This window comes from Homo sapiens, chromosome 1 (genome assembly GCF_000001405.40).
Source record: "Homo sapiens chromosome 1, GRCh38.p14 Primary Assembly".
Taxonomy (NCBI): Eukaryota; Metazoa; Chordata; class Mammalia; order Primates; family Hominidae; genus Homo; species Homo sapiens.
In genome coordinates this window covers 3,650,177-3,673,935 of record NC_000001.11, presented here as the reverse complement: position 1 = coordinate 3,673,935, position 23,759 = coordinate 3,650,177, and the positions used below count along the sequence as shown (strand labels likewise).

The following is a 23,759-nucleotide window of genomic DNA, read 5'->3' as shown; positions in this document are numbered from 1 at the left end:
GAGCTGAGCAAGGGAGGCACGGGCCCGGCTGCAATCCCCTCCCCAGTCCGTGTTCCCACCGCACAGCCACACCCCGCACCCTGCCTGGGAAGCCCCTCTCTGGAAATCCCCTGCCTGTCCATCTATCTTCACCGGTACATTGAGGCCCAATCCACATCCAGACATCCAAGAGGCCCGCCTTGTCCTCTGCTGCCTGCCCAGGCCTTCTTGCTGTCATATATGTGTTTGGGTCATACCAAGACACATGATTCCTGCCCCACCGCTTCGTGCCCTGAAGCCCAGCACTGCCGGGCACACACTCCAGTTCCCTCTCCTGCTCTGCCCACGCAGCCCACCTCTGCCGCGCTCTAGCTGTGTGACCTCAGATAGATGTCTTGCCCATTCTGAGCCTCTGTTTCCTTGTCTGTAAAATGGAGATAATTGTAGTGCCTCCTAGAAGCGCTAGGTGGAATGAAGTAACTCTACGCATATCAAAAGCGAAAGCACTCCTCTATCTGGGCACACCGTGGATGCCCCATAAACCGTATCGAGTTGCCATTGACCGACGGTTATTTAGTATCAGGTGGTGGCAGTGGAGGAAGAACCAATGAGGCCCGGGTCCCAAAGGCACCAGGCTGAGCGACAGAACTGCACACACGGGGGCGGAAAGGTGGGGTCTGCTGGCTGCCGGGTCCCTGGCTCCTTCGAGTGCCTCTCCATTTCATGGTCAGCACGCGTGTCTCACCCCACTTTTACAGTGGTCTCCGCACCCTTTTGCAGAGCACCAGCCTATCCTCAGTCTCTCAGGGAATGAGGCGTCCTCGAAACGGGTAGTGCCCAGTTGCAGCGGCAGCCGGTGCCAGCTCCATGCCCGGGGGCATGCAACGCGGTAAACAGATAACCCTGGCCCACTGGAGGCAAATCATGTATGTCTGTGAGGCCCTCAGAGGCTGGGTATGAGGAGGGTGGGTGGTGGAAGAGAAGTCTGCACCCCAGCCCCAGCTTGCTTGCGCCTTGGAGTGGGCGGTGCTCCTGGGGGTAAGCGGGTCAGGAGGGTTTGGAGGTGGGGTCAGAAGCATGAGCGGCCTGATGGGCTGAGCTTCCTCTAAGAAAGGGGTGGAAGGGGTGGGCAGGGACATGGCCCTTGGGGGGACGAGGTTGGCGGCAGGAGGGAAGTGGGGCCCTGTCAGGGAACTGGGGCGCTGAGCTTGGTGATGTTTCCTGCCAGGAGCCCACCTGTTAGAGGAAGGGCGACCCTGGCGGGGGTGGTAGGAGCAGATCTGTCACTAAGGGAGGTTCAGACCAGCACAGTGGGCACAGGAAGAAGACCCAGAGGACCGACTGCCAAGGATAGGGGGTGAGGGGTCCAGGGCTGGGACAGAGCGGAGCTTATGGCCAGAGTGGGTGTCTGAGTCGATACCTGTGTTCACAGGTGATGAGTACAGCGCTGCCCTCAGCAGGGCAGGTGACTGATGGGGCCGCAGCCGCCTTCGCTGGAGCTGCCACAGCCTCGTTCTGCACAGACACATCCCTGTCCTCTGCCCCCTCCGATCCTCCTCTCACACCCCCTTTCTACCCCAAGGGATCACACCGGGTGTCACTAGCCTTTGTGCGGCCAGCGCCCATGTTGGAAGTGCCTGTGCTGTCCTCCAGAATCTTCTTTCTTTCCCCAGAGAAGCACTTCCACTCCTCCAACCAAGAGAGAATGACCCTTCTCAAGCTGCTGTCCCCACCTGGCCACCCTCCTCTGGACACCCTTGGTGGGGATGCTCCACTCTGAGATGTCCCCACCCTACACATACCCCTCACCCCTGGCTCTGGGCTTTTCTCTAAGGGGTCTGGGACACGCCCGCTGCACCAGTGGACATGTCTCCCTGCTGACCACTCCCTACCCTGCGGTCTGAGCAGACGTGCCCTTCCAGACAGCTGTCAACTCCCTGAACTTGTCATGCGTCCCTCTGAGTCCCGCCCTGACTCAGTGAGCAATCCTCCCTCCTGGCGTGTTCCCTTCCTGTTCTGGAGTCAGCCGCTCAGCCCTGTGACCTCCCCTGCACAGTGGTGGCCGCTCAGCCCCGTGACCTCCCCCGTGCAGCGATCACGGGGGTCCACCCACCCCTCACTCCTTCCAGAGGCAGCCACTGCTGTTCCTCAGAGTGGCTGTCCGCTGGCTCTCAGGGTTGCCTTTCTGATATTGCTGCCCAGCATTCCCTGTGCCAAATCCTCCATATTTTCAAGCTCATTCAATCCTCAGAGGAACCCAGCGGGAAGTCCCCAGGTGTTCCCAGAGGCCCCGAGAGGGCGAGCAGCCTGCCCAGGGCCGCACATCTCAGAAGCACCACAGCTGGCTTAGGCTGGGCTCCGGTGAGCTCCACCTTCCCGCCAGGCAGCCCGTCCTCTGGAGGCCCCGGCTCCTGCAGGGCAGACAACGATCCAGCCTTTGCCCCCGTCACGAAGGGGGCTCCCGACGATGGCTGGGTCAGCCCAAGAGCTGCCTAGGCCCTGGGCAGGGCTGTGATCTTGTGGGACTCACAAGCGAATGGAGGGGCACTGGCCATGGTGGAGCTCGGCCAAGGGGCAGCCTGGGCAGCCAGTAGGTCAGGGAGAGGCAGGAACAGCAACTGGAGCTGGACAGGGTACAGGACCACCAAGGTCACAATGGATCCTAGGCTCCATGCTACTCCAGGTCTGAGGGGGCTGCTTCCCGTCACGCTCCCAGCTCCCACACCCCACGCCTCTCCAGGGACAGGCCCACCCCTGCCATCCCTGAGGCAGTTCCAGCTGGAGCCCTGGAACCCTGAAACCTGGACAGGTGCCAGCCGACCTGTGCTTCCAGCCCAGCCCTGAGGGAGGCTGTGCAGCCAGACCCCACTCTGACCAGCATGGCACCCACGAGGGACGGCTGTCAGGAAGCCTCACTCCTCAGGGCCCGCGCACCCCCATTTAAGAGACGCTGGTCTTCCCCAGACCTGCCAGGGCTCCTCCCTCCCAGCACCCATCGCATGGAGAGACATTCACATGCTGACTCTTTGCGGGCCAGACCACCAAGCCCTGACTGCTCTCTGCGCTGCAGCCCCAGCACCCGCCTGGCACACAGTAGGTGCTCCGTGAAGAAGCGATGACAGAATCCATGATTTGGTTTGAGCGGGCGGGGCCCAGCAGGTCAGGTCAGGACAGGAACAGAGTGACTGCTGGAGAAGCACCATTTGGGGTTAAATTGCTCGACTTCCTCCTCATTTCTCCTCACTTTTTCTTTTTCTTTTCCTATCTTTTTTATTTTATTTTATTTTTTTTGAGATAGAGTCTCGCTCTGTCACCCAGGCTGGAGTGCAGTGGTACGATCTCAGCTCACTGCAACCTCCGCCTTCCAGGTTCAAATGATTCTTCTGACTCAGCCTCCCCAGTAGCTGGGATTACAGCTGTGTGCGCCACCACGCCCAGCTAATTTTTGTATTTTTAGTAGAGACAGGGTTCACCATGTTGGCCAGGTTGCTCTCGAACTCCTGACCTCTGTTGATCCACCCGCCTCAGCCTCCCAGAGTGCTGGGATTACAGATGTGAGCCACCACGCCTGGCCTTCTTCCCCACTTCTAAGGGGCTCCTGTACATCCCCACCTGGACATGGGGCTCTTGAGTCTTGAGTTCAGACTGCGGGACCCCAGGGAGACGACACCCACATTCCAGAAGCCTGTGCCCATGTGGTCCCCCGGCCCCATCATCATCCCTGCCTTACCTGTGCCCATGTGGTCCCCTGGCCCCATCATCATCCCTGCCTTAGGGATGAGCAGAGAGATCCTCAGAGTGGTGTAAAACGCACCCAGAGCGACACAGCAAGCCAGGAAGAGCCCATGGTCTCGCCCCCCGAGCCACATGCCCATCCAGGAGGCCAGGCTGGAGACTTTGCAAAGAGCCAAGGGAACAGGATCCAGAGGCCCTGGCCCCTCGGACATTCCCCCAAGGCTTCAGGGAGGAGCTGGTCACTCAGTTTCCCTACCCACCCTCTCACCTCTAGCAACACACTTGCACATACATGCACATGGACACACCTATTCACATATGCGCACACATGTGTCCGCAGGCACTGCCACGTACACACTCTGCCCTCCTCACAGCAAATCCCCACAAGCCCCTCCCCTGTCCCCCAGTTTGATGGGTCCCTGAGGATTCCCCAGCCTGGGAGTCCAGCCCTGGAAGCAGGACCCAGGCAGAAGGAACAGGACATGCCCAGCCCCTTCCTGCCGTCCACGTCATGGTCAGGCTTGGGAGTAGCTGCGTGAGTGCCGGGGAGGCCGGGGCATGGCTTGCTGTTGCCGGGAGAGGCTCCGGGGCCACAAAAGAGTGAGGGGGCTGGGGAGAACTGGGAGGTTCTGGATCAGCTGTGTGAGGCTGAGGATGGCGGCCCCCAGCCGGGAAGCCCCCGGACGTGCCAGGCTGGGGCAGTCACTCTGCGCCTCCTTGGCAGGAAGTGGAAAGAGCTCCTGGTGGGTCCAAGGGGTGGAGGTGGCGGTACCAGAGCCACTTCTGCCCCCGATCCTAGGGTCACACGAGGAGCCCTGATGTGCCACTTGGGGCAGATGGCTCCCCAGAGCTGTGGCTTGTCCCATCAGGAGAACTGTGGGCAAGGCCTCCCCACCCTGGCCTGAACAGTACTGCATTTCCAAGCCGCCTCCTGGGAGGCCGTAGAGGGGCTCTCTGCACCCCAGGGTGGGCCCCCGGAGCCACTGCACCCACGGTGGCAAGGAGACTCCCCCCGACTCAGGCCGAGAGGAGGGCGAGCCAAGCCCAAGCCTACCTTGGCTAAGCCTGGGCCCCGGAGGGTCGGTGGGGCCAGGTGGAAGTGGCCCTCGGCTGGCTCCTGGCTCCCGCAGGCGGGCGGTGGCAGCAGCGTCCCTGTCACCTAGGTGATGACATTGGAGTTGCGAAACTAGGCGGCAGCGTGGCCGGCCTGGAGCTGCAGGGCAGCTGGGGGCGGAGCATGGCCTGGAGCCCTGGGGCTGGAGACGGGCCTGGAGCCAGCACCTGCCGCCTGCCACCTGGCATGCACGCGCCACCCTGCATCCCTGCTCCCCCCAACCCTCCTCAAGGCGACTGACAGGGCCGAGCTCAGGGCAGCCAGGACAGGGCTGTCTCCACCCAGCTTTGTACTCGTTTCTACTCCTCATTGTGGACACTTCCAAGCACACTCAGCACTACAGGGAACGGCCCAGGAACCCATCCACCCGTCCCCAGCTCTCATCACTCTGACCTCTGGCTTTTTGTTTCCTGGGGCATTTCACAGCAAATTCCACCTATGAGACCGTCTCATCCGTAATACACCAGTACATGCTTCCAGCAGGTAAGAACCTCTCTTTTAAAATATTAGGTCAAACCATGAAATTGCTGATAATTAACCGTTTTGGTCCTACCAACAATACACACACACACACACACACACACACACACACGTGCAGCAAGTTCAGATAATTCAACATTATATGCAGCCATAATATCAAATTCTGAATCTTTAATGCTGGTCAGAGGATTTTGAGGAGCCCCGCCCCAATTTTGGAGAGGGAAGTGTGTGTCGCTGCCACTGTGCCACCTTCCTCCCCCACAATTGCAGCAGCACGGAGTGGACAGCACGGATGTGTGTCTAGGTGCTGCACGGATGTGTGTGACAGCTACTCATGGCTGTTGGCTCCAGGAGGGGAGATGGCCCCTCATCGCAGCCGGGTGACTCTTTGGAAAGTGTATCCATGGGTCATTCTCAAGCACACCAATTTGGGTTCCTTGGCTGCAGTGACCTCCTGGCAGGCACTCCTCCTCCCCCACCCCTAGTTCATAGGAAAGTGAGGGGAGAGGAAAGACCTGAACCCAGGGAGGCTGGTGCCTGGCTCCTCTCAACATCCTTGTTGGAGACAAAAGGTGGGTGGGTGACAGGAGGAGCAATAGCAGCTGGACCCTGGCCATAGCCATGGCCAAGTCTGTTCCCTGGTCTGAAGAGCAACTAGCACAGAGTGACAGTGGCCATGAGCCCTGGGGGGACACTGAAGGGGGAGTTCAAGGAGAATTTTTGCACACCTGTGCACCGTAACACAAGGGTTGCAAAGCTATTCCTGAACTCCCCTGCCCTATTTTAAGCTGGGTGGTCCAGATGTGAACTACAGGGCAAGCCCTTGTTTATTTCCTTTTTTTCTTTTTTACTTTTTTTCTTTCTTTTTTTTTTTTTTTGAGACAGAATCTCTCTCTGTCGCCCAGGCTGGAGTGCAGTGGCTCCATCTTGGCTCACTGCAACCTTTGCCTCCCAGGTTCAAGCGATTCTCATGCCTCAGCCTCCTGAATAGCTGGGACTACAGGCACGTGCCACCACGCCTGGCTAATTTTTTGTATTTTTAGTAGAAACGGGGTTTCACCATGTGGGCCAGGATAGTTTCAATCTTCTGACCTCATGATCCACCCGCCTCGGCCTCCCAAAGTGCTGGGATTGCAAGCGTGAGCCACCGCGCCCAGCTGCCCTCGTTTATGCCTATCAGGCAAGAGCTGGAGAGGGGACCATGCGGATGTGCGCACTGTCTGTTTTCTGTGGCTGCCGTAACCAATGACCACACAATGAGCAGCACAGAATGAGATAAATTTACTCTCTTACAGTTCTGTAGGTCAGAGTCCGAGATGGGTACCAGGGAGCTAAAGCCAAACTGCGGGCAGGGCTGGCTGCTTCTGGAGACCCCGGGAGAATACATTTCCCCCTCTTCCTGTCTTTGGGGGGCCCTGGGAGAATCCCTACTCCCCTGTCTTCTCTTGGTTCTGGAGGCCCTGGGACAATCCCTACCTCCCCGTCCTCTCCTGCTTCCGCAGGCATATTCCTTGGCATGTGACACTTTCCTCCATCTCTGAAATGCATCCCTCCAACCTCTGCCTCCATCATCAGCTCCCTCTCTCACCCCTCTTGTGGGGCCCCCTGATGACACTGGACCCACCTGGATCCTGCCAGATGGCCTCCCCATCTCAAAATAGCTGAATCACGGTCCCCTTTGCCATGGGAAATAACATAGACACGGGTTCTGGGGATTGGGACGTGAAGACCTTTGGGGAGCCACTTTTTTTTGCCAACCATAAATGTCCCTCATTGAAAAACATCTTTTCTGAGCCCTCTGTTTGGGGGTCAGTCTGAAAGCCGCCCTGGGAGAGACGCCCGCATGGCACTGAGTCGCGTCTGCTCAGAGCACCATCCCCACCGCCAATGCTTACTCACTTCCGAGCTGAAGGGCTTCTGGGACGGTTTGTTCCTGCTCAGTGAGACACACAGGACAGGCCTCTTTGAGGTCAAAGGGCACCCTAGCCTGCAGCCAAGGCCAGGGAGGTGGGCAGGAGGTGGTGGGGAGGGAGCCAGCAGAGGGACCATTAAAAGCCCCCCGCCCACGCACCCACCTTCACTGTCAGACCCCTTCCTTTCTCCCCACAGCTCTTCAGTATTTGCCAGCAGGTCCCTCTGTGTGCATCAGTGAGTTCCTGAGGGCATGCCGCAGAAGTGAAACTGTCAATATGACCCATAATTACACCCCACCAACACACAGCTTACTCTGCACCAGGCACCATTTTAAGATTTTACATTCATTAGTGTGGGATACATAGCAAGACCCTGTCTCTAAAAGCAAGAAACAACAAAACTAAATTAACTGGATGTGGTGGTGTGTGTCTATGGTCACAGCTACTCAGGACACAGGCAAGAGGATGGCCTGAGCCCAGCAGTTGGAGGCTGTGGTCAGCTGTGACTGCACCACTGCACACCAGCCTAGGCTGCAGAGTGAGATTCTCTCTCTCTCTCTCTCTTTTTTTTTTTTTTTTTTTTTTTTTTTGAGACAGAGTTTTGCTCTTGTTGCCCAGGCTGGAGTACAATGGTGCGATCTCAGCTCACCACAAACTCCGCCTCCTGGCTTCAAAAGCGATTCTCCTGCCTCAGCCTCCCAAGTAGCTGGAATTACTATACCCAGCTAATTTTTGTATTTTTAGTAGAGATGGGGTTTCACTGTATGTTGGCCAGGTTGGTCTCAAACTCCTGACCTGGTGATCCACCTGCCTTGGCCTCCCAAAGTGCTGGGATTACAGGTGTGAGCCACCTTGCCTGGTGATTCTGTCTCTTAAAAAAAAAAAAAAAAAAAAAGGCCGGGCACGGTGGTTCATGCCTGTAATCCCAGCCACTCAGGAGGCTGAGGCAGGAGAATCGCTTGAACCTGGGAGGTGGAGGTTTCAGTGAGCCAAGATCATGCCACTGCACTCCAGCCTGGGTGACAGAGAGAGAAATTGTCTAAAAAAAAAAAAAAAAGAAAAGAGAGACAAACCAAAGGACCTAGGGGTCAGAGTTATGAAACTTCAAAATACGAATGATTTCCATGCACCCCACTCATATCAAGTCCTTCCGGTTTTAAAGTTCTGTTTTGCATAAATTACTAACCGTATACTTCATCGTCAAGAGTAGACTCTTTCTGTTATTCTAATACTTTCAAAGACCAGACTGACCAGCTGAACATTAGACAATGAATTCTTGGAGTTATACTGGCCTCAATCTTACAACGGTGTATTTTGCTATTTTTATCAGAATTCATCATTTTCATATTAATCCAATTAGCATCCTGTTTACCAATACCTCATTTTTTAATTTGCAGCTTCCTTCTAAAAGCTTGGGGGGGACTTTCACAACTCGATCTGTCCTCCCTCATTACTGCCAAATAATTAGTCAAGGAGCCGTCCCTGATCAAAAATTAAGAACCCAGAAGCAAGTTGGAGCATGCCTCGCTCCAGAAGAAAACATGACAGGAGACTCTTGTAATTATGAGGGGACTGGTTGGTAGTCATGATGCAGCCGGCAAAGACTGTGATAGCAGGAAGGAGAGACCTGCACTGAATCGTGAGCGTGGCCGATCACAGCTCATTAACTAGCTTGGAGTTTGCATCTCCTGTTTAACTGACAAAGACCGCAGAGTCTTTCCTCTGTAATTTGGGGGCTGACTTCACCCTGCATTGTGCATGGTGCAAATTGCGAGGACCATAAAGAGAGGATGGTGAGTTGCCTTGCCCACTGAATCGTGCACCTTATCTCGGTCATCGGATTCACAGGAATCACCTGCCTCTAAAGAGGGAGCACATCTTCCCTTTGTAGCCTGACCGCATCTGGTAAGGGTGGCTGGGTTTTCTGCAGAAGAGATACCCCTCTCTGAGGCCCAGCCGAGGCCTCCCACAGACTCTACAACCCCTGCCCCCCAACCATCTCACAGTCAGGAATGACCCACACTGAAGCAAGGCTGCTCCCCGTCCCCTACAACCACCAGGCCCCAGTCTGGCGGGTGGGCACCACCCAGGTGGACCCGGAGGCCAGGAGGCTGTGGAAGAGAAAGCTGCGGGTCTGGCTCATGTATTCGGACTGGTGGAGAAAATGGAGCCAGGAAGTCATTGCTAAGATCACAGGAAATGGTGCAGTACGGGCGAGCAGGAGCTTCCCTGCCCTTTCCAAAGGACCCAGTGAAATACTGCACCTCTCCTGCAGGAGGGGCAGCCTGCCCCCTCAGCCCAGCCTTCCCCAGGTGCCACCCCCAACCCTGCCTGACACCTCAGAGCAGCAGGTGAGCAATTAGAGCCCCCACCCCTCCTCACAGGCACCCTGAGCCACGGGGGGCCTGCCAGCTGGTACTGGGCAGGGAAACAGGTGGGTCCTTCCTATCCAATGCAGCGCCTCTGGTAGGGGGACACACCCTGGGCTGGGTGGAAGCCCTGCCGGCTCAGGCCCTGCATCTGGGCTGGTAGGAAGGTAGGAGTCGCGATGCCCAGGGGCCCGTGCCCAGACTGGCAGGGCAGAGGGGCTGCACCAGCCTCACTTGGGCACCTCAAGTCTGCCAGTGCCACCCTTGGGGGTTCTCAGGTGTGGTCCCATAGGCAGCTCAGATCGAGCTCACAGTGGGGATACAGCAGTGGCCTCTCCAGAGAGCCTGTGGCATGGAGGGAGGGGGGCCGGCCACGACCCCCAGGGTACTGATTGGGCTCAAGACATACCACTACCCCAAAACCTGGCACGGTGGCATCTGAGAAGCCAGGGAAAGCAGGTATGCTCTCTCCTGCTCCCTGTCACCCTGAGGCAGGCCATAAAAGAGTTCTCTGGCCTTCCTCTGAATTAGGTCACAGACCCTCATGTGCCCTAGACCCAGAAGAAAGGAAGATCAGAGCCTTCAGACCTGGCCCCAGCCCCCGGTTCAGGATGTCTGTATCCTTTCTTTCTTTCTTTTTTTTTTTTTTTGAGATGGAGTCTCGCATTGTTGCACGATCTTGGCTCACTGCAAGCTCCACCTTCCTGGTTCACGCCATTCTCCTGCCTCAGCCTCCCGAGTAGCTGGGACTACAGGCGCCCGCCACCACGCCTGGCTAATTTTTTGTATTTTTTAGTAGAGATGGGGTTTCACCGTGTGAGCCAGTATAGTCTCGATCTCCTGACCTAGTGATCCGCCCGACTCAGCCTCCCAAAGTGCTGGGATTACAGGCGTGAGCCACCACGCCCAGCCGCCTGTATCCTTTCATCACGCTCCGTGCTGTCCACACCCCACAAACCCAGGAGGAAAATATGCAGAGTTCCCCGGTTCGATGGGTGTTCCATTCTCAAGGCTCCTGTGTCACATGGAACTTCTCGTAAATAAGCCTGCACGGCCCTCTTGTTAACTTGTCTTTCATTACTGGTACGGCAGCCACCAGGCTCGTGATAGGCAGAGGGTCCTCTTGTTAACCTGTCTTTGTAGGTGCCGCAGCCACCAGCCTCGTGAAGAAGAGAGGCCCCTTCTCCCCTCAGGCATGGGTGGCCCGGCCTGCAGCTGATCTTGGTGGCATGAATTGATCTCCCAGGCTTCAGCCTCCCCATCTGTGAATGGGACAGTGATCACTGTTTCCAGATAATGATCAGCAAAGCCCTCATCTGTATGATGCCACTGCAGTGAGGAAAGCGCCGCCCTCAGATTACTCATGCCAGTGCCCAAAGGGCAACACATGGGACCAGAGACAAGTTTCTCTTATAAAAGAGAATTTCGTTTTTCTCTGAGAGCGCTCGGAGCTGCTGGAAGAGGCAGCCCCATGCTGTCCTCACACTGGGGACCCCTCCCTGCGCTCCCCAGCCAGGTCTGTCCTGGGGCCTGGTGGGGAGCTGATTCCATCTCCAAGGCCCATAGAGGCCCCTCTAGGCCCCCTTGCAATGTCCCCTCCATAGCCCTGACACCTGGGTTGGGGCTCAGGACACGCCACCCCACCCCAAAACATGGCTTGAGGGGGCAGAATGTGCCACCCCAAACATGCCTTGGGTATATCCATTATTTCGAGTAACTGCAGACACAGGAGTGGCTCTGCCCAGCTGCCTGTCTGGGAGAGAAATGAAAGACATTTCCATTCGTAAAGGTCTCTATGCCGGGAGGAGAGCGGCTCCAGGTAACTCTGATCGCCTGAGAGACGCATGTCCGCGTGACGAAACCACCTTCATTCACCAGTCAACTCCCCTGCTATAGCTGGTTCAGCCTGCAGCAGCCCCACAGTCCTGTATCTTCCTGCAGCTGAGGATGACGCAGACGCCTCCGCCATCTGGCCCCTTCCCCCAGTTTCATCTCCGTGTGGGACTCCCATTCGTGGACATATCATTAAAATGGGTTTTCTCCTGTTGATCTGTCTGATGTCACTTTTCCTCCCCTGCAGCTTGGTGACATGAAAGGACCTCCGTGGCTGGCCTTACTCCCTGTGGATGCCACAGCTGCAGGATCCTGGGGCCCCAACAGAAGCCGGTGAAGGAAGAGTTCCTGCTCCAGCAGGTGCCTGGTCTCCACCTTCAGGGGCTGCTCCAGGAGAGTGGCAATTTGGGGCAGCAGGAGGAAACATGGGTGTGAACTAGTTCTTTTTTTTTTTGAGACAGGGTCTCACTCTGTCACCCAGGCTAGAGTGCAGTGGCACCATCATAGTTCATCGCAGCCTCAACTCCTGGGCTTCAAGGGATCCTGCCACCTCAGCCTCCCGAGTAGCTGGGAGACAGGTGGGCACCACCACACCCAGCTAATTAAAAAAAATAAAAAATAAAAAATAAAATAAAAAATATATATTGTGTGTATATATATAATACATATATTATATATATAGCGTGTATATATATAATACATATATTATATATAGTGTATGTATATATATAATACATATTATATATAGTGTATGTATATATGTAATACATATTATATATATATATATATACACAAAATACATGTGTGTGTATATACAGTTTGTTGCTCAGGCTGGAGTACAGTGGTGCGATCTCAGCTCACTGTGGCATGAATCTCCCTGGGTTCAAGGGATCCTCCTATCTCAGCTTCCCGAGTAGCTGAGATTACAGGCATGTGCCACCATGCCTGGCTAATTTTTGTATTTTTGGTAGAGACGGGGTTTTGCCATGTTGCCCAGGCTGGTCTCGAACTCCTGGGCTCTAGTGATCCGCTCATGTCAGCCTCTCAAAGTGCTGGAATTACAGGCATGACCCACCATGCCTGGCCAGATCTAAGAGTATTTTAAACTATCTAACTTTCTGCATTTCTCTTTGAATATTTCATTGTTACTTTGATTAAATGAGAATTAAGTATTATTTCATAATGATCTGGGATTCTATTTAATCAAGTGCTTTCAACCTTTTGACATTTTGACAACTTTCCAAAATCACACACTCTAAATTAAGTCTTTTTGACCCTGAATTAACGTTTGGGATTTCCTAGATTGGCCCCTGGAATATCTCAAAAGGATTTATTTTCTCTCCTTATAAAAACATAGATTATTTTGCCAATGTTAAAGGGAAAATTGTTTTAGATAAAATAAAAAGATATTAAATAAATTGGGCTTATTTGATCAACTAAATTTGCATGGAAGCACTGTAAAATATGAAGTGATGATTAACCTTCTCTGGGTGAGTTATATTTGCATGGATATATATTCATATAAGAGTTCCAGAAATTATATGAAATTCTTAGAAATCTGATACATTCTATATTAGTTGTAATTCTAGTTATTATGTGAAAGTATACACCACAGGAATAACCAAACTTCCTCATCAGTTACATTGTAATGATGTCATCACATCTTTAGCCAAGGCCATTTTAAGCCTTTCTGTCATACACAGTTAACTGTTTGGCTCTGATGCTTTCCCGAAAGCTTTTGCAAGCAACTATAATTCTAAAATGTTGTGTCTTCGAGAAGATTTCATGGGGAAGACTTTGACCAGTACAGGTTTCTGATACATTAAGATCACACCACTGGATGGCAAGAATTTCCAGAATGTAAATGAAGAAACTATTTATAACTTACAGCATTCTGGTACATTACACTTTTATAAGCAAAATTGAAATGATGACTTTTCTCCCTACCTGATCTCTCCAGAATTTAGAAACTATTAGCATTTTTATTTTTACGGCCATAGAGTTATTTGCTTAAGTTCAAGATGAATCTGCTGCCTTGTAATAGGAAACAACTGGAAATGTTGGTTAGCTCACCAAGTGTTTGACCGGAATATCATATTTGAGAGTGATGTGCATAAAATCAGATGTGAGTAGCTTTAAGGAACTAAGGTTGACTTTATGGAGCCAATGAAACCCGTTGGAGGAAAACAAAATTGCCCTTGTACCTGGATTAAAGGGCTTCTGCAGCCTCACGGGTTGAGGAAAGACTGTGATTTTTTGGCAGTAATTCTCAAGAATACGTTGGGAACCTTGAGAAAGAGGAATCCACCCAAATCTATAGGTATTGCAGGTGAAGTCTGATATCAAGTCCTTGGCTTGACTTCTTAGCCTCAAGAGGCTTTTGAAAGCCTAACCTGAGATTTATTAAAAGTTCCAGCAAAGCTGACCTAAAGAAAGCCTAGCTGGCCACTTACTATTCTTGCTGCACTTGTGCAAATAATCAGGCCAATTTTAATGAGGCTAGACTTACTTTACAAACAAGTTAATCTGACTAGGCTGGGCACAGTGGCTCACGTCTGTAATCCTAGCACTTTGGGAGGCCGAAGTGGGTGGATCCTGTGAGGTCAGGAGTTCAAGACCAGCCTGGCCAACATGGCAAAACCCTGTCTCTACTAAAAAAAAGTAATAATAATACAAAAATTAGTGGTGGTGCATGCCTGTAACTCCAGGAGGCTGAGGCAGGAGAATCACTTGAACCCGGGAGGCAGAGTTTGCAGTGAGTCGAGATGATGCCACTACACTCTAGCCTTGAGCGACGGAGTGGAACTCTGTCTCAAAAATAATAATAATAATAATAATCTTACTGAGATTATTTTTAGTAGAAAGAGGGGTGATGTAGAAAGAACATATATTTCAGTAGAAAGCCATATTGTGCGCCCCATATTAGATTCTTGTCCTGTTTAACGTCTTTGGGGTTTTGTTATCTATTGATGTCTACAAACTGGACGGGTTCCTGATGTTTCTAGTTTCCTCCAGTATCTGGCTGCAACTCCCAAACTAACACTTTCAATTTTCTCCCACCGTTCTTATTGGAATCACGAAGAACAAAACTGCCCTTTGCCCAGAAATCCTGCAAACTGAGGCTGGACGACTTGAAATACTCATCAGCGAGATTACCACGAAGCCCAGGTGCGAGGGACCCTCACGCCTGTTGCTGCGTGGGCCGCCCAGACATCGCCAGAGACCAAACCGCAGAAGATGCTCGGAGCCCAACATCTACAAACCTGCCCCGCCACGGCCCCCAGGCTCAGAAACTGGTTTTTAGTCAGCTCCAATGATTAGCTTTTTTTTTTTTTCTTTTGTTTCCATAGAAATGCCTCTTCAAAGCATTATGGGACAACACACCCACCCAGTTTCTGTACCGTGGAGCTTCTTGGGGAAGTTTCAGACTAGGAAACAATGGGGCTCAGGACACATCACCCCAAAGTATGACTGTAGGAGACCAGAATACGCCACCCCTAAATATGACTATAGGAGACCAGAATACGTCACCCCAAAATATGACTGTAGGAGACCAGAATACGCCACCCCAAAATATGACTGTAGGAGACCAGAATACGCCACCCCAAAATATGACTGTAGGAGACCAGAATACGCCACCCCTAAATATGACTGTAGGAGACTAGAATACGTCACCCCAAAATATGACTGTAGGAGACCAGAATACGTCACCCCAAAATATGACTGTAGGAGACCAGAATACGTCACCCCAAAATATGCCATGTTGACATGTTGATTACTTTGAGCTAAAAGCAACTGAGAACCAGCCAACAGAAAAAAAGCTCTTCAGCTCCCTAAAATAAAGTAAAAAACTCTCTTTTCTAAAGAAAATTGACATCTATAAAGGACATTTTCATTAGTAATGGTCTGTGTGCCAGGAAGAGAGCCGCGCGCCAAGACGCATTTTCTCACCATGAGACTGATAGCTGCACCACGAGGCAGCCTTTATGCCCAGACGTTTCCTCCCTCACCCTCTCCTCATTTGTCTCTACCGCTCCCCAGAAGCCCAGGCCCCCTTTCCTTTCTGTCACAGAGGACGGACATCTGCACCGCTCCCATCTGGTTACTGCTGAGTCTCCTGTTTTTATGGCACTTCCGGGCGGGGGCACAGCCTTAAAACTGTTGTCTCTTGTGAGTCTGTCTTTTGTCAATCGTTTATTGACAAGAACCCCGTAGGGAAGAGGGAGGCAACTTTCCCTTCCCCTCTCCACAGCTTGCTCTTTGGGGAACCCGATTTAATCTCCAAGGCCCACGGAATCTTCCGGCCACTGTCCATCCCTAATGTGTCCCCCATGTCCCCTCCACGGTCCCTGCTCCATGAGACCTGCCTTCCGTGCCCTTGCTCTGGCCCCAGCAGGGCCCTTCCTGCCACCTGGTCTCTCCAGGCCTCACTGGAGGCCACCACTGGGACGGCGTCTCCTCTCTGTCCAACTCCCTGAGAGGTGCCTCTCCAGACCCTTCCGCGCAGACCGATGTCCCCCGACCTTCTGTAGCACCCACGGCCAGGTCCAGGGCTGGGGCCCGGGTCTCGCCTCTCCCGGTGGGGCTTCTTGTTCAATACCTCTGGTTTCTGTCCCTAACTGGGGGCTATGCGGCCCAAGCAGTCCCCAGGTAGAGGAGCTGCTGGAGTGTGTGGAACAGTCTGTTTTCCAGGATGCAGGGGCTGTGGAGGAGGCGCCAGGCGGGAGGTGCTGGGGGAGAGGGGGGCTGCCCATCCCCGGCTGTGCCCAACCCCGACCTTCAGTGTCCGGGTTCCAAGATCCTCGTCCTGAAAAGAGGGGCGTGGCTTAGACCAGGTTTCTTCCCCGTTTGCGCCATGGCCCCTCTGGCAGCCTGGGGAATCTCAGACGCCTTGTCCGGGAGAATGTTTTAAATACATGAAGCAAAATACACAGGATCACGAGTTACTGAAACATAGCCACTCTAGTGGGTTGGATGCAGCCTCTGGGAACGAGCCTCAGAATGGGATGTTATTTGGAATCAGGGTCTTTGCAGATGCCACTTAGGTAAGGGTCTCAAGATAAGATCATTCTGGATTTTCCAGGTGGGCCCGAAATCCAAGGACAGGTGTCCATCTAAGGGACAAAAAAGGAGAGACACACAGGGACACAGAGGAGAAGGCCATGGCAAGATGGTGGCAGAGACTGGGTGGTGCATCTGCATGCCTGGGAACCACAGGATGGCCGGCAGCCCCCAGATCCTAGGAGGGAGACAGGAGGCGAGCCCCCTCTCAGAGCCTCCGAGGGAACCCGACCCTGCCCACACCTGGCTTCAGATTCCTGCCTCCACAACCGTGAGACAACACTCTCTATTGTTTCCAGCCACTTAATTTGTGGTCATTTGTAACAGCAGCCTGAGAAAACTTACAAAGTGACCCTAATATTTAAAAAGCAAAACTGGGAGGTGATCATATGTGCGCTTCTTTGTTCATACATTAAGTCGTAAGCCTGAGAGCAGATCTAATCACCGCCATAATTGCAACGGAGCGACAAGCACAAACCACTTTTTAAGATGCTGCAGCTATTACCGGACACCATGAAAATATCAGTGGTTCCCACTGGTGAGGTCACAGGTACTGCTATGACTGTAGTTTGCTGCCTACATTCAAAACTAGAGGAAATGCTGAAATTTGCTTTGAGGTTAATACAAGGTGCCATTTTTCCCCATCCAGGCTCACAGCACCCTGGACTCTCTACCCCTGGCTTAGATGTTCTGGAAGGGCCCTTCCGGCCTGAATGTTCCACGGTCCTAGGTGTCTGGGGGCCGTGTCTGAGCCAACGGCAGACCCAGGCAAAGGATGGTTTGGCAGCCCCAGTCCCAGCTTCGTGGTCATAGCTGGAGTCCCCACTCCCGTACTTTGCAGCTGTGTGACCCTGTGCAAGTAGAATAGCCAGTTGAAGCCTCAGTTTCCTCATCTGTAAATGGGCATAATTATAGTATCTACTTCAACGGGCTATTGTGGGGATTACAGGGAAAAAAATGTAAACTTTTTAGCCAAGTACCAGCTCACAGCCACCATGGGCTAAATGTGAGTTATTACAGGAAACATTAAAAAACAAGAGTTGGGCTGGATTATCTTTTTCTTCTTTGGGTCTGTGATGTGCAACTTGTCCAGGAAAAGAAAGCACTTTGGATGAGCGAGTGTTTAGCCTGCAAAGAAATACTGAGCACAGAGTGGACTGCCAGGGGGCAGGCAGAAAGTCTGTAAACATGTGCATATGTCTGTCTGAGCCCACTTTGGTATAAGCTGTCTTACACTCAAATGCCAATGAGCAGAGGGATTTTTTTTTTTTTTTTTTGAGACGTAGTCTCGCTCTGTCGCCCAGGCTGGAGTGTAGTGCGTGATCTCAGCTCACTGCAAGCTCCGCCTTCCGGGTTCACGCCATTCTCCTGCCTCAGCCTCCTGGGTAGCTGGGACTACAGGTGCCCGCACCACGCCCGACTAATTTTTTGTATTTTTAGTAGAGACGGGGTTTCACCGTGTTAGCCAGGATGGTCTTGATCTCCTGACCTCGTGATCCACCCGCCTCAGCCTCCCAAAATGCTGGGATTACAGGCGTGAGCCACTGCGCCCGGCTGAGTAGAGGGAATTTTTAGAATAAAATACCTTCTGCACGACCCACAGAGAAGGATTTTCGAGGCATCCTGTGTAACCCACTTAAGAAGGCAAACTTCTAAGAAAGCCATTGTGTGTTTTCATTATACACGAGTGGATGTTGCCAGCTACAAGTGTGTTTTGTGTATTTGTTAAAGGAATCTGGGCAGAACATGGAAGTATTAAATACTGGTAGGAGTAAGTGATCACTCAGCCTACTTACTGGTGATAAAACATTACATTTAGAAAACTTTCACCACATTCAGATACAAATAACACGGGAATTCAAAAGAAAAGTAGGCGTTATTGTCATTTAGTAACTCATCTCAGCTTTTTTCTTTTTTGCTTTTAAAGCAAAATCACGAGGAAATAACATACAGATATCTTAAAAGGTTGCCTTAGCCCTCCCCACACTGGAAAACAAAGGCAAGCCGCAAAATGGCAGCTCGTTACATGAAACACACACCAAAAGTATTTTTTGCGTGTTTTTTTGAGACAGAGTCTCGCTCTGTTGCCCGGGCTGGAGTGCAGTGGGGTGATCTCGGCTCACTGCAACCTCTGCCTCCCAAGTTCAAGCGATTCTCCTGCCTCAGCCTCCTGAGTAGCTGAGACTACAGGCACCAGACACCACCCCCGGCTAATTTTTGTATTTTTGGTGGGGACAAGATTTCACCATTTTGCCCAGGCTGGTCTTGAACTCCTGATCTCAAGTGATCCACCCACCTCGGCCTCCCAAAGGGCTGAGATTACAGGCGTGGGCCACGGCGCCTGGCCTTAAAGGATGTTTTGAAGACTTTTTCTGACTTTTTGCAAACACAGGGTTCACCGTGTACGCGATGTCACTTTGGTGTGCTCGGAATCTCAGGGTTAATACCGCCGCTGGGCAAGGGCAGGGCCTCGTCCGGGTTCTGGAGTGGGTGTGCGGCTCCTCTCTCGGCCCTCAGCCTCTTCTCTTCTCTCCACTTTAGCCGTGCCTTTCACACGTGCTCAGTGTTATCAATCCATTCTTGGACCTGGGTGGGGCATGCCCTATAAATAAATACTAAACCAGGCATCCTTGCCCCAGTGCATACTTCTGACAGATGCCATCAGCTTCCACCCACGCCTTGGGCAGATGCCTGCCTCACTGCCATCCCTCCTGCCCTGGAGATACCTACCAGATACTAAGGAGCCGGGTCTCTCCCCAGGGCTCCTGGCTCTCCCAGCTCTGGAACAGCACCTGGGACCCGAAGCCATCATGTGTGAGGACACTGAGTGGGTGCCAGGCACTCTCCCAAGCCCTTCGGACGGCACCTCACTGACTGTTCTCCAAGCCTCTGAGGCAGGAACTACTATTACCCGACTCTGCAGATGGGTAACCTGAGGCTCCAAGTGGTTAAGTGACTTGCTGGAGTAAATGGGGAAGAGGAGATTTGAACCCCAGCATTCTGACTTCCATACTACCCCATTAACCACTGTGCCAGACCAGCTTCTCCATGCGACTGGCCTTCGGGATTTGGAGACAGCTACTGTTCGCTGTAGCTTTCACGAGAAGGACTGCAAGGCAGGGCTCACATCCCGAGCCATTCTCTGGTGGCCGCCGCGCATAGACAAGCCCCGCTCAGGTCCGCCTTCCGTTCACCCCAGGCTACCTCTGATTGACAATAGGCAGCTGCCACACTGCAGCCTCTGACACCAACTTTTATCTTATTTCATCTTATTTTTTGAGACAGAGTCTTGCTCTGTTGCCCAGGCTGGAGTGCAGTGGCATGATATCAGCTCGCTGCAACCTCTCCATCCCAGGTTCAAGCAATTCTTGTGCCTCAGCCTCCCGAGTAGCTGGGAGTACAGGTGCCTGCCACCATGCCCAGCTAATTTTTGTATTTCAAGTAGAGACTGGGTTTCACCATGATGGCCAGGCTGGTCTCGAACTCCTGACCTCAGGTGATCCACCCACCTTGGCCTCCCAAAGGCTGTGAGGGATGACAGGCGTGAGCTACCGTGCCCAGCCAACTTTTTATCTTATTTTAAAAACTACATACGTAATGCATACATTCATATATGGCAACATTTCAAACACCGTGTCCTGTTCTTAATGAAATGCTTTTTAATCTTTCCCCGAATAAATCCAAAGAGGGGTGGCTCAGCGCTCAGTAAGTGCCAGAGGCCACGCGCTTTGTTTACTCCTCCCCCAGAGCTAAGGCTGAACAAATAAACAGCAATGACAGCAACAAAAAACAAAACAACAAAAACCAAAGCATTGTGTTAATGAGCCTGAGCCATTTCCAAATGTCCAGACAGTGAATAAACAGATGGCAGCATCTTTGGAAGCAAATGACCTCTGGTCAGAAGTTTGGGGTGCATTGCTTTTCCCTGCACCCTTGCTGGTTGAAGATCGTCTATCTGTCCCCTGTTTATGTAGCAGACGTGTGCATACTACATGGGCTTATCTCCTAGCGTCCAGGCCAAAATACAAGCTGAGCAAAGGTAATCATCGCTCCCCAAGTCCAAGCCCCGGGAAAGGCAGGGGCTGCAGGAGGAGGCGGCCCAGGAGCTAAGGGGGCGTGAGGTGTCTCCCTCCAGGCCGGCCCGGGCCATTTCTTCACGGGCTTTCTCTACCTGGGACCGCTCCGGAGACAGGCCAGGAGCCCTCGACAGACAAACTCAGAGCCACAGGGAGCTGTCCCTCGGGAAACCATCGAAACCGCTTAGTAACCAACTCCATGGGTCAAGGCCCCCGCCCAGATCCTTCTCCCTGTCCAGAGGGGGGCCTGGCCCTGGCTCCTCAGGGAAGCTGAGGCCTCGGGATTGGCACAGCCCTGCAGGTCGGAGGGAGCGCGCGGGCGGGGAGGAGCTTGCTGGCGATTTCCACCTGCACCCGCGCCCCGCACCCCGGCCTCTTCCCGGGGTTACCCTCCCAACGGCCCTCGGAGCCCGGGGTGGAGAGGGGACAGCAGGAGGAGGGCCCTCCCGGAACCCCTGCGGGGCTGTCTTTGGCGCCAAAGGCGGCCGGCGCTGAGGGCAGGACCCGCGTCTCCTCGCAGGCTAGACTCTGGCCGCTCCAGCCTCTCGCGAGCGCCAAGTCCCAGGGGCCGATCCAACTCCGAGGGAGCCCCTGTGTCGCCTTGTCCCAGCTCGTCCCCGATCGCTCTCCCCTCACCTCCCAGCTTCGGAGCTGCGAGCCCAGGTGCCTGCCCAGCGCTGCGCTCCAGCCCCCGCCCGCGGAGCCGAACCGCCCCCCGGCCCTGGGCCTCCTACCTGCAGCCGTCGCAGCCCCGGGCATCGGCGTCCGTCCCGGCTGGCCTGGCGCGGGCCCCGGTTTCGCTGCGTCCCCTTCGCGGGCGCGCGAGCCTCCGGGCGGGTGCGCGGGCGGGGAGGCAGGGCGGGCTGCCCGGCCCCTAGGCGGGTTATATGGGCGCGGGGAGGGGAGGCGCCGCGGGGAGTAGGCGGCCGCGGGCGTTAGCGCCTTTTTAGCCCGGCGCGCGGGAAGGCAGCGCGGGCCACCGAGTCGCGGCGGGGCCAAGGTCTCCTCCCGGCGCTCCGCCTCTCCAGCTGGCCGCGTCCAAGTCGGGGTCCCGGGCGCGCTCTGCCCCGCCTCCTTCCCGCCGCCTTTTGGCGCGCGTCGCTCCTGCAGAGCCCGGCGAGGCCGCCCACGCAGGGCCGAAGCAGGTCCGGCGCCAGGGCCCCTCCCGCGGGCCAGACCCGACCGCGATCTTCGGCAGAGCTGGGGACGCCGGTGCCGACTCTGTGCCCGACGCCTGCGTTTCCCCCGGACTCCCTGCTGTCCCCCAGACGGCCCATCTTTCCTGACACCCGGGTCTCTCCTGGCCGCCGCCACTAGCGCTGGGCTCCTCGGCGCGCGGGGCGCTTGGAATCCAAGGGGCAGGGGATGTGGCCGGCGGGGAACAGGGGTGAGGGGCGGGGAACAGGGGTGAGGGGCGCCGCCCCAGGCCCAGGAGGAGGGGAACGGCTGCTTTCCGCCAAGCAGGGCTTGCCACCCACTTCTCCTGTGGAGCCACGGTCCCGCCCGGCAGAGGATCCCGCGGAGAGCCTCTGGGGGCTGCTCTCCCAACCCCAGCCGGAGTTTGGGCCCCACGTCCTTCCAGGGGTCACCCAGGACGCGAACACTCCCGGGCGGCGGCCAGCACCCTGCTCCCTCCCCCGGCCGCCGCCTGTGGGCTCGGGCTCTGGATCCCGTTCGGTGTTTGGAAGGAGCTCGCGGGCGTCGGTGCGCTTGGAGTTGTTCTCTGCGCGCACCAGACCTGCGCTAGGTCAGGCCGAAGCTCTCTACCGGCCAGCGACACCCGCCGCCCCGCCCGCCTGCTCCTCCTAGGCCATCGGGGCTTCCAGGGCCCTCGACCACGTACACCAGGCCCTGGCTAGGGGACCCGACATGCTGGGCGAGTTCCGAGCGGCTCTCAGTGGCGGCGCTGCTTATGGTCTGATGCTTATGGGGCCCGTGATCTGGCTCCGAACCGATGTCCTCTGCCCATGGTGACCCCCACGTCTTGGAAAGTCGCGTCAGTGAAGCCCGTGGCTTCGCGAGCGAGCCGGGCTGGCGCAGACTGGGTTCTCTGGCCGCAGCGGGTCCGCGCCTGACGGGGAGGGTCCGGCTGACTCGCACATCTTCATGGCTCACCCACTGTTTGCTGGGCGCACGGGGTGGGGACCCAAAGACGAATCCCATGCAGAGGTTTGGGTCTAGTTTTGGCAACAGAAAAGGCCGGCACCGCCGGAGTAGGACGCGCGCGCACCACCATCCATTCGGCCGGGGAGGTTGGGGCGTCCGCGGGGAGCAGACCCGAGGCTGGGCGCCCGGAGGTACGAGCAGGACCCTGGCCGGCTCTCAGCTCCCAGAACCCAGGGCCAGGCGGGGATGTCAGGGTCTGCGCGATCTGGGGGGCCCTAGAGGCGCCGGCGGGGCCTGGCGCGGACTACTAGCGGCCTGCGGGAGCCAGGGGTGGAGGGGGCCGCTGTCTAGGGAAGAGGACCGGGGTCCGGAGTGGGGGTGAGAACGAGGCACGCCCCTGAGCCTGCGAAACCTGCGGACCGAGCGCCCGCGCAGGAGCTCGCTCCCTCTGGGCCCCCAGGTCCCAGACCCGCACGATTCTTCGCCCGGTGCCAGCCCAGATGCGCGCGGGTGATGAACGGGCGGTGGCCGCGATCCACGCGCTCGCTCTGCCCAGTCAGCGGCAAATTCGTTCTCTCCTTGATCTCAGTGGCACTGGAGCGTGAGGCAAGGGCCAGGCGGCAGGTAGAGGGGTCGGACTCAGCAAAAGCAAACAAAACCCCAAGCAAACGAAATAAATACTTATACATTACATACACGATATAATATATGTGCGACAGACACCGTATTACTTATTAAAGATATATTTGTAGGTAAACATATATTTACATGTAAACATACATTTACATATAAATATAAATATATATATATGCATGTGTACACACACGCAGACACACAGGTCGCTCAATTAAATTTGAATTTCAGACTAGCGAGTAATTTTTCCGTATTAGCATGTCCCGTGCAATATTTGGGAACATACTTATAACTAGATTTGTTGTGAATCTGAAATTCAAATTTTACTGTGCTTTCTACATTTTTATCAGCAGCCCTAGCTGGAGGTGCTCAAAGGCCTCCCGGCCTTTGAGGTAAGGTTCTCGGGTCGGAAATCCCTGGTCGGAAGAAACGTGGGCGTTTCCTTTAAAGCCCTGCGGCA

General features: G+C 54.5%; 1 protein-coding gene and 1 long non-coding RNA gene across 10 annotated transcripts in view, besides 6 other annotated features; one reads left to right on the top strand and one right to left on the bottom strand.

The window, feature by feature from the left end:
* The window catches only part of TP73 (tumor protein p73), an 83,686-nt gene extending 62,266 nt beyond the window's left edge, over positions 1-21,420 (bottom strand). For 6 of the 7 annotated variants that reach the window (NM_005427.4, NM_001204184.2, NM_001204185.2 and 3 more), the window contains exon 1: positions 21,295-21,420. The gene's annotated coding sequence lies outside the window, so the exon portion shown is untranslated. Of the gene's footprint in view, positions 1-4,768; positions 4,857-21,294 lie in introns of those variants that run through there. The other variant, XM_047429524.1, reaches the window with a different exon arrangement.
* Positions 8-227: an enhancer, noted in NCBI's record as "active region_64". NCBI's record gives its function as "activates an Ori minimal core promoter by ATAC-STARR-seq in GM12878 lymphoblastoid cells {active_cell/tissue: GM12878}" and the evidence as "EXISTENCE:reporter gene assay evidence [ECO:0000049][PMID:35858748]".
* TP73-AS3 (TP73 antisense RNA 3) lies at positions 4,991-15,293 on the top strand. 3 transcript variants are annotated; one of them, NR_187362.1, is made up of 3 exons: positions 4,991-5,311; positions 11,671-11,783; positions 14,506-15,293. It is a non-coding gene; the product is annotated as a TP73 antisense RNA 3 (long non-coding RNA). The 3 variants fall into 3 exon arrangements; NR_187363.1 differs by lacking the exon at positions 4,991-5,311 and adding an exon at positions 8,966-9,014; NR_187364.1 differs by lacking the exon at positions 4,991-5,311 and adding an exon at positions 9,422-9,572.
* Positions 7,210-7,459: an enhancer, noted in NCBI's record as "active region_63". NCBI's record gives its function as "activates an Ori minimal core promoter by ATAC-STARR-seq in GM12878 lymphoblastoid cells {active_cell/tissue: GM12878}" and the evidence as "EXISTENCE:reporter gene assay evidence [ECO:0000049][PMID:35858748]".
* Positions 16,708-16,807: an enhancer, noted in NCBI's record as "active region_62". NCBI's record gives its function as "activates an Ori minimal core promoter by ATAC-STARR-seq in GM12878 lymphoblastoid cells {active_cell/tissue: GM12878}" and the evidence as "EXISTENCE:reporter gene assay evidence [ECO:0000049][PMID:35858748]".
* Positions 16,888-16,967: an enhancer, noted in NCBI's record as "active region_61". NCBI's record gives its function as "activates an Ori minimal core promoter by ATAC-STARR-seq in GM12878 lymphoblastoid cells {active_cell/tissue: GM12878}" and the evidence as "EXISTENCE:reporter gene assay evidence [ECO:0000049][PMID:35858748]".
* Positions 20,860-21,809: a silencer, noted in NCBI's record as "silent region_122". NCBI's record gives its function as "represses an Ori minimal core promoter by ATAC-STARR-seq in GM12878 lymphoblastoid cells {active_cell/tissue: GM12878}" and the evidence as "EXISTENCE:reporter gene assay evidence [ECO:0000049][PMID:35858748]".
* Positions 22,769-23,612: an enhancer, noted in NCBI's record as "H3K27ac-H3K4me1 hESC enhancer chr1:3566888-3567731 (GRCh37/hg19 assembly coordinates)". NCBI's record gives its function as "activates a minimal SCP1, AML or CMV promoter by ChIP-STARR-seq in naive H9 embryonic stem cells {active_cell/tissue: H9 hESC(naive)}" and the evidence as "EXISTENCE:reporter gene assay evidence [ECO:0000049][PMID:30033119]".